The 13,479-nt window shown below is 39.0% G+C and overlaps 1 long non-coding RNA gene across 5 annotated transcripts in view, besides 1 other annotated feature; it reads right to left on the bottom strand.

Annotated features, from left to right (window-relative positions):
• Positions 1 to 13,479, bottom strand: part of SLC38A4-AS1 (SLC38A4 antisense RNA 1) — a 268,904-nt gene that overhangs the window by 250,657 nt on the left and 4,768 nt on the right. The gene's annotated exons all lie outside the window — the stretch shown is intronic.
• Positions 6,147 to 6,648: an enhancer, noted in NCBI's record as "NANOG hESC enhancer chr12:46789058-46789559 (GRCh37/hg19 assembly coordinates)". NCBI's record gives its function as "activates a minimal SCP1, AML or CMV promoter by ChIP-STARR-seq in naive H9 embryonic stem cells {active_cell/tissue: H9 hESC(naive)}" and the evidence as "EXISTENCE:reporter gene assay evidence [ECO:0000049][PMID:30033119]".

Here is a 13,479-nt window from a genome sequence, read left to right as displayed (position 1 = left end):
CTCCAGCGGCCCAAATAATCATTGCAATGACAGCCCTGGGAACAGCAGGGAGAGTTGTTTTCAGGCTAAACCCTCACAATTTTTCTCTTACAGCTCCTTCCAAAAGGGAACAAAGCAGCTCTGCGTGTGTGTGTGGGTGTGTGTGTGTGTGTGTGTGTATACGCCCCTACACATGTGTGTATGTTTTCTGTTTTGAGTGTAGAAAGTACTAGAAGTAGATAGTAGATAGTGCCTGAGATGCCAACATAGGCAAATGAAGAAGGTGGAGTAGATATGGAGAGGATTAGCCCAGAAGTCCTACAATGGCTTTTTCCAGGTTCAAAAAGTCTCTGATTGGGGCAACTGAATGTGCACATAAACCCTGCTTCTCCCCAAATATAATGAGCAAAAGGGAAAAGCGGAGTGCTGACTTAAAGATGGAGGAGGATGAGCAGACAGCAAAATGTGGTCAGAGTGCGGTCCCTCAAAGGTTATGAGGAGAGAAGGCTCCCCAGTGCTCCAAGCCCCTTCTCAGCAAATGGGGCAAAGGCCATGTGCACATTGTACACACCTGGAGCTCCCCTCCATCTGGTAAAAGGCAACCCTGTGCACCTGAATGGACATCAAATCTCTGAAGAGACTGATCTAACATTTATCAGTGTGTGACCTTATGTTAATGGCTAAGCTGGTCTCAGCTCAAGATTTTTTAAACTGCAGAATGGACATAAATGCAATGCTATGTTACCAAAAGAAAGTGGTGAGGACAAGAAGAAAGGCCTGGAAAGAGCCCATGTCTGTGTGTGCCCATGAGGGGAGAGTGAGAGGGCTGGCCTTTCATGCAGCACACTGGTGCACATGGCACAAGAACCACGGACCACACTTTCATCTGTCAAATGTACTAACTGCCAGCAAGAGGCCTGATGAGCCAGAGTGGGTGCCTATGTTCCAATCCATGTATATATCTCTGTGTCCAAACACCTACCGTGTCTCCTCCTGTAGCCATGGTTGAATAGCTCAGGCTCTGAGCTAAGACCCATCCTGCCCCTTGTGCACTGGTGCCCATCCTTCTTACCGACTTAAAGACATTGCTCCAGCAATTGTCCACCTGCTCTTGTATCATCAAGTTGTTATTCTCTACTGGATCATTCCCAGCATACAAATGTGCTGTCATAATTTCTTCCACTTGAAAGATTCTTTAAAACTCTCCTGGCTCCACATCCTCCTTCAGATATGACCCTATTTCTCTTCCCTTTTAGAGTAAAACTCCTCTAAAGTGTAGTCTCTACTCTGCCTCCAGTCCAACTACTCCCATTCCTTCTGGAATCCATTCCAAATAGCTTTCATCCTCATTACTTCATCAAAATAGTTCTTGTCAAAGTCATCAATGACCTCCCTGTTGCTACATCCAATAGTCAGTTCTCAGGCCTCCTCTCCCTCACGTTGTCAGCAGTACCTGGCACACTACATCACTCCGTCTTTTTTTTTTTAAACTTTCTTCCTTTTAAAACAAAAAAAATTTGGAGAGAGGGTCTTGCTCTGTTGCCCAGCCTGGAGAGCAACAGTATGCTCATGGCTCACTGCATTTTCTTTTCATTTATTTATTTTTTATTATACTTTAAGTTGTAGGGTACATGTGCACAATGTACAGGTTTGCTACATATGTATATATGTGCCATGTTGGTGTGCTGCACCCATTAACTTGTCATTTACATTAGGTATTTCTACTAATGCTATCCCTCCCCCTTCCCCCCACCTCACGACACGCCCGGATGTGTGATGTTCCCCTTCCTGTGTCCAAGTGTTCTCATTGTTCAGTTCCCACCTATGAGTAAGAACATGTGGTATTTGGTTTTCTGTCCATGCGACAGTTTGCTGAGAATGATGGTTTCCAGCTTCATCCATGTCCCTACAAAGGACATGAACTCATCCTTTTTTATGGCTGCATAGTATTCCATGGTGTATATGTGTCACATTTTCTTAATCCAGTCTATCATTGATGGACATTTGGGTTGGTTCCAAGTCTTTGCTATTGTGAATAGTGCTGCAATAAACATACATGTGCATGTGTCCTTAGAGCAGCATGATTTATAATCCTTTGGGTATATACCCAGAAATGGGATCGCTGGGTCAAATGGTATTTCTAGTTCTAGATCCGTGAGGAATCACCACACTGTCTTCCACAATGGTTGAACTAGTTTATAGTCCCACCAACAGTGTAAAAGTGTTCCTATTTCTCCACATCCTCTCCAGCACCTGTTGTTTCCTTTTTAATGACTGCCATTCTAACTGGTGTGAGATGGTTATCTCATTGTGGTTTTGATTTGCATTTCTCTGATGCACAATGATGATGAGCATTTTTTCATGTGTCTGTTGGCTGCATAAATGTCTTCTTTTGAGAAGTGTCTGTTCATATCCTTTGCCCACTTTTTGATGGGTTTTTTTTTTTGTAAATTTGTTTAAGTTCTTTGTAGATTCTGTATATGAGCCCTTTGTCAGATGAGTAGATTCCAAAAATTTTCTCCCATTCTGTAGGTTGCCTATTCACTCTGATGGTAGTTTCTTTTGCTGTGCAGAAGCTCTTTAGTTGAATTAGATCCCATTTATCAATTTTGGCTTTTGTTGCCATTCCTTTTGCTGTTTTAGTCATGAAGTCCTTGCCCATGCCTATGTCCTGAATGGTATTGCCCAGGTTTTCTTCTAGGGTTTTTATGGTTTTAGGTCTAACATTTCAGTCTTTAATCCATGTTGAATTAATTTTTGTATAAGCTGTATGGAAGGGATCCAGTTTCAGCTTTCAACATATGGCTAGCCAGTGTTCCCAGAACCATTTATTAAATAGGGAATCCTTTCCCCATTTCTTGCTTTTGTCAGGTTTGTCAAAGATCAGATGGTTGTAGATGTGTGGTATTATTTCTGAGGGCTCTATTCTGTTCCATTGGTCTGTATGTCTGTTTTGGTACCAGTACCATGCTGTTTTGGTTACTGCAGCCTTGTAGCATAGTTTGAAGTCAGGTAGCGTGATGGCTCCAGCTTTGTTCTTTTGGCTTAGGGATTGTCTTGGCAATGTGGGCTCTTTTTTGATTCCATATGAACTTTAAAGAATTGTTTTCCAGTTCTGTGAAGAATGTCATTGGTAGCTTGATGGGGATGGCATTGAATCTATAAATTACCTTGGGCAGTATGGCCATTTTCATGATATTGATTCTTCCTATCCATGAGCATGGAATGTTCTTCCATTTGTTTGTGTCCTCTTTCATTTCCTTGAGCAGTGGTTTGTAGTTCTCCTTGAAGAGGTCCTTCCATCCCTTGTAAGTTGGATTATTAGGTATTTTATTCTCTTTGAAGCAATTGTGAATGGGAGTTCACTCATGATTCGGTTCTCTGTTTGTCTGTTACTGGTGTATAGGAATGCTTGTGATTTTTGCATATTGATTTTGTATCCTGAGACTTTGCTGAAGTTGCTTACCAGCTTAAGGAGATTTTGGGCTTAGACGATGGGGTTTTCTAAATATACAATCATGTCATCTGCAAACAGGGACAATTTGACTTCCTCTTTTCCTAACTGAATACCCTTTATTTCTTTCTCCTGCTTAATTGCCCTGGCCAGAACTTCCAACACTATGTTGAATAGGAGGGGTGAGAGACGGCATCCCTGTCTTGTGCCAGTTTTCAAAGGGAATGCTTCCAGTTTTTGCCCATTCAGTATGATATTGGCTGTGGGTTTGTCACAAAAAGCTCTTATTATTTTGAGATACGTCCCATCAATACCTAGTTTCTTGTGAGTTTTTAGCATGAAGGACTGCTGAATTTTGTCGAAGGCCTTTTCTGCATCTATTGAGATAATCATGTGGTTTTTGTCTTTGGTTCTGTTTATATGATGGATTACATTTATTGATTTGCGTATGTTGAACCAGCCTTGCATCCCAGGGATGAAGCCAACTTGATCGTGGTGGGGAAGCTTTTTGATGTGCTGCCGGATTCGGTTTGCCAGTATTTTATTGAAGATTTTTACATCGATGTTCATCAGGGATACTGGTCTAAAATTCTCTTTTTTTGTTGTATGTCTGCCAGGCTTTGGTATCAGGATGATGCTGGCCTCATAAAATGAGTTAGCACTCCCTCTTTCTTAAAGCACTCGGCATCTAGGCCATCACTCTGTTCAGAACCCCAAAATGGTGTCCCATCTCACTCTAAATAAAAACCAAAGCCTTAGAATGGCTCAAAAGGCTTTCTTTGATTTCTTTTCTAGGAATTCTCTTACTCTAGATAACTACAGAACTCATTCCCTCAATTCTATTAGCTCAAATATGACCTTATCAGCCTGTGGGTCTTTCCCTAATGTCCATATAAAATAACCGCCTCCTATTTTGGGAGGCCAAGGTGGGTGGATCACGAGGTCAAGAGATCGGGACCATCCTGGCCAACATGGTGAAACCCCATCTCTACTAAAAATATGAAAATTAGCTGGGCATGGTGGTGCATGCCTGTAATCCCAGCTACTTGGGAGGCTAAGGCAGGAGAATCACTTGAACCTGGGAGGCGGAGGTTGCAGTGAGCCGAGATCACGCCACTGCACTCCAGCCTGGCAACAGAGCGAGGCTCCATCTCAAAAATAAATAAAAATTAATTAATTAATTAATTAATTGCCTCCCTAGACTCCCTCCTATGTCCCTTTCCAGGAGCTTCATATTATAATCTATGTTATATAATCACAGGTTTACTTATTTTATATAAGCTGGGTTTGTTCACTGCCATATTGGCAGCACCTATAACACTATCTGGCACATAGTAGGAAGTCAAGTATTTATGGAGCGATCTAGGGAAGGAATCCTAAGTCCTGGAAACTGAACAGAGTATGGGCACGTAACCAGCCTTCAATGTTTGCTTCAGAGAAGGCGAAGTTCTCAGAATACAAGTGGACAGTGCTAGGGACATTCTGTACACCCTATTTATATTAGGCTGGAAAGACCGCTCCCTGTCCCAGGGTAAGGTAGGACACAGCCGCCACAGTATCTCTGAAAAGATTCTACAATACCATAGAAACTTTTAAGTAACATCTGTTTGGTGCCCTAAACAGAGATGTATGAAAACACATTTCTATGAAGATGAAAAAAATTCAAAAACGAATAGGCTAAAATGAAAACAGAAAAGAACATGAAGCCACTGGAATAAGAAAAAAACACAAGGAAAAACAAAATGCCATACCAGAATTAAAGTACTCCTTTCAAGCAGTAAAGACCATTTGTACTGCAGAAAATCAATTGTGATGTGGACAGATAACTTGAGTAGCTCCTTTAAAATGCATAAAGGTGAAAAAAATACATAAACAAGATTAAAGGAAATTTCCCAGGGGTCTCACACCTGTAATCCCAGCACTTTGGGAAGCTGAGGCGGGTGGATCACCTGAGATCGGGAGTTCAAGACCCACCTGACCAACATGGAGAAACCCCGTCTCTACTAAAAATACAAAATTAGCCGGGCATGGTGGCGCCTGCCTGTAATCCCAGCTACTCAGGAGGCTGAGGCAGGAGAATCGCTTGAACCCAGGAGGCGGAGGTTGCAGTGAGCTGAGATCATGCCATTGCACACCAGCCTGGGCAACAAGAGCGAAATACCATCTCAAAAAAGAAAAAAAAAAAAGAAATTTCCCAATATATTAATGTCAGCATCTTCAGTGATTTTCCTGTTTATATATTTCTTCTATTCTAAACTTTTAATAATATACATATAAATCACAATAATCAAAGAGAAAAATGGAAAGTAATAATTTTATATACCTTAAACTGCTTATTCCTAGTTTCTATTTTGTGAGAGGAAAACTATTTCCTAGCCCCTTGTCCTCCTTACAGCCCAGCAATGTCATTCCTCCCCACAGCACTCAAGTACCTAAAAACTCATTCTACTGGAAATTATTGAAGGATCTGGCTTTTTCAATATGACTAGATCTAAGGAAGGTCCCAAAACTTTGGGTGAAATTAGAAGCACTGAGAAACAAACATGAAGCTGAGGACACTGTTTTCTTTATATTTCTCTACCTCTCACAGTGATGGGGACACAACCATTTTGTTAAAATGCCTGTTAGGATGGAGAGTGCCAATTTCCACTTACAAATACATATTTTGCGTATGGGATAACAAAATGTTCATAGGCTACTGAGACTATGTGTACATTAGAGTTCTGATGGGAAATCGGCCTATAATCCCATATCCTTAATGCAGTGGACTTAGCTGCTTCAGGAATACTTCCAAGACTGCAGCTAGGGTTTTTAAACCTCAGTCGGCTTTGCTGGCATGTGTGCTATTTCTTTCCCTCCTTCCCCAAATTTGCAAGCTCGTTTCTTCTTAAATTCTGCATTAGATGATGCATGAATGCGTTTTATTTCCTCAATGGAAATGTAGATGCTGCACAGCTGTTAAGACTTTAAATCACCAGGTGGTACTTGGAAGCAGGAACTAAAATGGTGTTGCCAGGGTAACCACACATTCTTCCAGCTATGGGAAGAGCTGCCATGTTTTCTATGCTCTAGGGAATATATGTTATTTTAAAAATTGGCTTAGTGCATATGACTATTTACTATTTAAAAAGAATACCCATTTCTTCACAAACCAGTGAAATGCTTTTTGATTACTCATATGCCTGAAAAAAACATAATATTTTATCTTTTCAGGGCATCAGTCCTCATCTTTCTTTGCCAATAGAATTTTAAAGATCCAGTAATAACTAATATTTTATGCTACCCATAATATACTAGTACATCTCATTTTACACCTTACATAGATTCACTTCAAATATGCAATCAGAGCTTACCATTTAAAGAAGTACCATTGTGAATTCTGTAAGGAAATGCATTTACAGAATGTATTTATCGGTTATGAAAATCCTTACTGCCATTCATAGTAAAATCTGAGAGGTAGAGGTGAATCGTCTGAGATTCCCAAAGTTCCACTGGAGTTGACAAACCTTTAGGGTGGTTTGAGACCATACAGACAAGAAAGCAGCAGTCCCACAACACCCAAAACAAAGCAAAAAGAAGTCAATGACACAAATATTCTTATATCTATCCTTCCTTCCTCCCTTCTTCCTTACTTCCCTCCTTCCTTCCTTCTCTCCTTGCTATCATCCTTTCTCCCTTCCTTCCATCCTTTCTTCCTTCTTTTAACATCTATTTACTGAGCTCTTACTTGGCACTAGGAACCGTGGCAGGTACTGGGAGACTTTCTGTAGGGACTAGATCCAGCAGTAGAGGTGCAGATGATACAATAGGCTCATCTTCAACTGTACTAGATTTTGTTAAATTGTTTTCCAAAGTGGTGATGTCAGTGAAATTCTCCCATGAGCAGTGCATAAAATTTATTTGCTCTACATCCTCACCAATACTTGATCTCTGGGGAATGTAAAATCCTACTTTCTGGTGGTTTTAATTTTGTGTTTCCCTGATCACTATGTTTATGGTTATTGGCCATTCAGGTTTTCTTTTCTGTCCACTGCCTGTTTATATCCTTTACCCATTTTTCTATTGGGTTGTCTTTTCCTCATTGATTTATAGGGGTTCTTTATACACAGTGTGTATAAAATTTTTTATATGTTTAAATCTCTTTCTCACTTTTCACTTCTTTAGGTATTGTTTAACATCAGAAATTTCTAATTTTAACACAGTCAAGTTTATCCATCTTTTTCTTTAATGTTTATGTTTTTGTACATTGTTTAAGAAATTCTTAGGTATTCAAAGGTGATACAAGATTTCCTTTCAGATGTTTAAAAATTATACTTTTCACATTTAGGTCTTCAACCTACCTGTGATTAATTTTTGTACAAGGCATGATATAGGGATATAATTTTACTTTTTCCCATATGGATAACTAGTTGTACCAGAATCCATTACTGAATCATCAAACTCTTCTTCTATATTACTTCTTATATATAACAAGTTTCCATCTGTGTGTGGGTCTGTTTCCTAACTGTCCTTTCTGTCCCATCAGCATATATGTCTATGCCTTTGCCATCACTGCCCTTCCTTGATTACTATGGCTTCATAATAAGTCTTGAGATCTATTAATGTAAAAACCTGTACCTTGGTCTTCTTCAAAATTATCTTAACTATTTTTGGCCCTTTACTCTTTGTATAGAGTTTAGAACAGGCATGTTGAACTGCTACTATCACCATGGGTCTTTTATACTACAGATTATACAGCTGGATTTTTATATACAAAGGTTAATCAGAAAACACACAATCTGTTACTTGGGGGCTCTGTTAATTGGCTACAAAGTTGTATACACAAATTCTAAAAATGCATGAACTTTGAGCACATTTTATGAATTAAGCATTGTGCAGGGTACCTTGCATATATTAATTTAGATGGTCCTCCCAGAGATGTTGTAAGGTAGATAATATAATCCCAAATTTACAGGTGAAGACACTGAAGATCAGAGAAGTTGTGTGGAATGCCTAAGGAAGGTGTAGTAACCAGCAGTAAATGTTAAGGTAAAGATTCAATTCTAGATCTTTTCAGATTCCAAAGTTCTTGCTCCTTCTATAATATCATTTCAGACTACGCCAAAACCTTCTAGTTTAAAACAATAAACATAATGTGACTACTATTTGTATTGCATTTAGGTACTCTGCATTTAGGGATATTATTTACAAATTGTCATTTGCCCATATAGTGAACAATTCAGTCATTTATTTGAAAGGCATTAAATGCCTATACTATACTAGGCACTGGGTACTCTTAAAAGCAGCTCAAAATTGACCTGAATGTCAACACACTCTGAAAAAAAGTTAGAAAAGGTGAAAATGTCAAATTAGCTGGGGTTCAAGGTTCTCCAATTACTTTGAAAAGCTGCAGATGCACTACCATTAATTTTGCTTGAGGGTTGTTAATTCGTGTGTGTGTGTGTGTGTGTGTGTGTGTGTGTGTGTGTGTGGTCTGAGCTGAAAACCCAAAGAATTTTAAGTCATTTCAAAAGATTCTCTAAGTTAGGACAAATTCACAGGTAGCTACTAATTTAGGTATTTCCCAATTTAGGCCACATCACATGTACTACACTGAGACAGTCACGTGGGAAAGGCTACTCGGCAAAACCCCTACAGGCCTGCACACTGGGGTGGAGCCACAGAAGTCTGCAGGGAGGAGCCTGGCCCCTCCTCTTTCTGGGTGAAACCTGGGATTCAATCTGCAAGGCAGGAAGCCCAGGGGCAAGAAGCACACTCTTTCGCCTTGCTGATAGTCTCCCTTTCCCCTTGTCTTCCTTTTCACCCAATAAAACCCTGCCTTAGTCACCCTTTAAATTGTCTGCGAGCCTAAATTTTCAATGCCCTGTGACAAGAACCCCATCTTCAGCTGAACTAAGGAAAAGTCCCGCAACAACACTACATGTAATTAAGTGAGGAAAGGATGTCTTATAATTTTAGGACTGGTTAATCACATGGAAATTGTGAGGACACGTCTCATTTTTTAATCAATAAAAGGTAAAAAGTCGGGTTCTCTTCCTATATTCTTTGGGTAGCACAGTATGCGGATCTCTGAGCTTTAGTTTCCCAGGTTGCAGAAAAGGAGAAAATTTTAATGTCCATCTCAAAACATCATGATATTAAATGTGTAATGCATTCGAAAAAGTACTTTATAAACTATAATGTATTAAGTGCATGTTACTTACTGTCAGATAAAAATTTAATAATCGAAATAACTGTTTCTAGAGCCTATGTGTGAGCTAAAAAGCAGTTTGTACTCATTTCAGAATGGGAAAGACTCAGGGCAGGGAAAGGAAAATTAAAGATTTCTAAACAAAAATAAATAAGAACAAAACAACACAAGTTATTTCAAGTTTTCTTAAGAATCAGAATAAATATATTTGAGACAATAAAACTTCTCAGTGCCTTTTTACAGGTGGCATCCTCCTTGTAGGGCACAGAACAGTTATTACCTGATCAGCATCTTCCAAAGTTCAGGACCACTGAAACCATAATAGAAGAATCTTGGGAGCTAATGTCAAAGAATCATTTTTTGCTATGCTTGATTTAAGTCCAAACTTTAATGTGATTTTAATCTATTGCATATCCAATGAGGAATTTAACTGTGATAATACTGAAAAGAAATATTGGATGAGAAACAAGACAGGCCAAAACCCACAAATCTCCTGGGGCCACTCCTGACATGATTCTATGTCAATAGACTGGTTTTTAGCCAGAGGCTTTTCCGAGCATTCTGTCTTTCAGTTACAGATTGCAAACCATTGGAAATAAAATGCATCATCTTAAATTGCAAGAGCACATAGAAAAAAAGTAGCAACAGCATTACAGAAATATGATTTATAGCTAAAAGGGTGTGATATTCTGATGCCTTTCTCCTTGCTTTTAGACTCCTGTAAGGTTCAGCAGGACCTTAACCCTAAATTAAGTGGCTTCATAAAACCTCTGATAGAAAACAGTCTTGGACTGTCAGCAGGATGTTTGTGGATTATCTTAAGTAATAATTAACAATCAACCATTGGATTCAATGACAAAAAATACTGAACCATCTCTTCCCCAGTTCCAGCTATTGAAGTAGACTATGACTGAAAAACAAAAATAAACAACATATTTCCTGAGCTGAAGAACAGAAAGTAAAATTCAAAAACCTGTCTTCATGGCTACCACCTTCAATGTGCCATTTGTGTACTGTACCATGTCCTGGGGGGAGCGGGTGGTTAGGGCTGAAATCCAGCCTGTACTCCACTTATCAGGCCCTGCACCCTGGGATGGGGCTGTGTCAGCCAGAAGGAAGAGAGGTCTTCTAAGCAAAACGCTCCATGAGTCTGAAATGCTGCAACAGCACAAGGCTAATTGTCACAAAACCATTGTATAGACTAGCGGGCCCAGCCTGGCTGGCTCAATAGTGACTCTCTAAATGACTTATGGAAAATCACAACTTTTTCATTTCCTGCAAAGGAAGCCCTTCACATTGTTAAACTACCAATGTTTGTCAATCCACACAAAGACTACCATCCATCTCCTGCTGACGGGTAACATCAAGGGTCTTTCTCTCAAAATAGAAATAATAGAAACAATTGTTATACAGCAAGGTCCTGGCCTTTCTTTAATCAATGGCATTCACTCTGCCACACTTTCCTCACCTTCTTGTCCTCTAGCTTTAGCCACAGCTGGATGGAAGCTCTAGAAAACTTTTCACAAGATAGGATTAATCCCAAAGATCATTTTTCTTTTAAATTTAACTAGCTGTTTGCTGCTTCAGCCATCACTTGATGTTAGCCTCTCTGACATGACAAAGACAAAATTTGAGATTTGTTTGTTTGTTTAAGCTAACACTTGAGAAGTACTTAACATATGCCAGGCATGGTTCTAAGTGCTTCCTTTACAAGTTCAGACTTAACTAAATCTTCATGAGTTATTATTTATCTTTCACATTCATGAAATTAAAGCACACAGCTAGTAAAAAGCAGAAGCGAAATGAAACCAAACAGTCTGGATCCAGAGTCCATCATACCCAGACTGCTTTGCTGTAGGTACTGCCCTACAGCACAACAGGTACCTCTGAACAGTATGTTTGCCAATATTCCCATTTAGTGTATAATGCCCTAGGTTACAGCCTTTGGCAAATAAATGGTGTTGTCCTTGATGCCAGATATCATACCTAAATTTTTAAAAATTTACTGTAGAGCAAAATAAAATCAAAAGAGCATACTAAGATGCAATATTCTCAAGTAAGACCAGCTAAGAAGGCTTCCATTGTATTCAGCAGAAAACATAATTTCTGCAGACAAATTTAAAATATTTGAAAGCAAAATGAAATGTTCACCTTTAGCTCTCCACCTTCTAGGGCCAAGTGATGCAAAAATTCCATATTCCTAACAATAATATGAATTATCAAGGAAAACATTCATCATCTTTTCTCTTTAACTCTTTTTTGTAAATTTAAGTTACAAAGCAAAAAATTTCAAATCTTGGTTTTTTAAACAAGGGAGGGAGCCTTTTAACCAGGACTTACTCATGAAATTTATGCTTCAGAATCACAATGACTATCACTGCAGCTTCATTAATAAGAAGAAACTAGAATACTACTTCTTAGATATATATCTTCCTAATGTTTCTAAATGAAATTTCCGGGACAAAGGAACCTAATGATCATTAAACCAGTACTTCAGATGAACTTCTAATCATTGTCAAAGGCAAGTCTGTGTGAAAATACATATATGTGTCTATAAATATGTATGTTTCATATGGTTATAATGGGTATCCTCTAACATGAAACATACTGCAAATTATAGTCGACTTAGAATCAACTTTATGAAGTAACTAGGAATGACTAGTTAATTAACTAACTCTGGCTTCCCCAAAATTCTGAAAGTAGATTTTTAGCCTAATGGGTTAAAAACATAAGTACTAGGTACTTACTGAGAGCACATCTGGAATCACTTTATCTTGAAACTGTTGTATAATGAGGTGCTAACATAACCAACTATGGCTTGCCCCCCACTGAAATGTGTGTGTGTGTGTGTGTGTGTGTGTGTGTCCTGGACTTAACCCTCTTCCAGTAGCAAGTTCAAATTCCAGAACAGTTTGTCCAAGGATCATGTTGGCAGGAATGTGCTTGTCTTGGAAACTTGTGGACCAAAATATGTTCATCCTTAAGAAAAGCACATCCTGCAGATAACAGTGACTGGCCAATCAGTGTTGTCACGTCACAGAACTGTGGGTTCTCATTTTCTTGCCCTCTTTCCAATATCCAGCCCATATTCAGCACTGCTTGTGTAACAAAAGGCAATAAGGAAGAAGTTGTAACAAATCCTAACAGCAAACAGACCAAGACTTGGGGAGTTGCAATCTGGGAAGCTGAGGGTCAATATTTCATAGTGTCATTGATGAAGCCTGTGAATTTACCACAGATTTTACGGTTGTCAGTTCACAAACTTTCTGGTGAAAACAGACTTCTATAATAATAATAATTGGATTGACTAATTTCCATGACAGGACATGAGTAGAATGAAGAGGCAGATGATCTGGGTTCTACCTCCAATCCAGCCACTAATCAGCAATTCAACCAGCAATAAGTCATTTTCCTGTCTGGCCTCAGATGCATTCATCCATAAAAAAAGAACTGTCAGATAATCTCTAAAATCCTTTCCAGTTTACATATATTTTATGACAAAGTTTTTTACCTAACCTCAAATATGTGTGTGTATGCTCATACACACACACACCCACACAGAGAGAGAATGAATCCAGACAATCTATCGAAGATTAAACCAGGCATGAAAATCCAGATGCTGCTGTACACTTTACAGACGATTCTTTAGTTATCATTTCTTCCTCATACAAGAGTGTGAGGGGCTCACTGAGACAGGTCTTGAGTTCCCCTCACTTGTACCTTTTAGTCTCTCTCATTTCCTCTTTTCTTAACCACTGTCACACCAAAAGAGGTACAGTATGGTGCATAAGTTTGCAAAACTATAAAATGATACCATTCTTTGATTCTTCATTCTTCGATGCCATTCTCAACCTTT

This window comes from Homo sapiens, chromosome 12 (genome assembly GCF_000001405.40).
Source record: "Homo sapiens chromosome 12, GRCh38.p14 Primary Assembly".
Lineage (NCBI taxonomy): Eukaryota > Metazoa > Chordata > Mammalia > Primates > Hominidae > Homo > Homo sapiens.
This window is presented reverse-complemented; position numbering and strand designations above follow the sequence as displayed.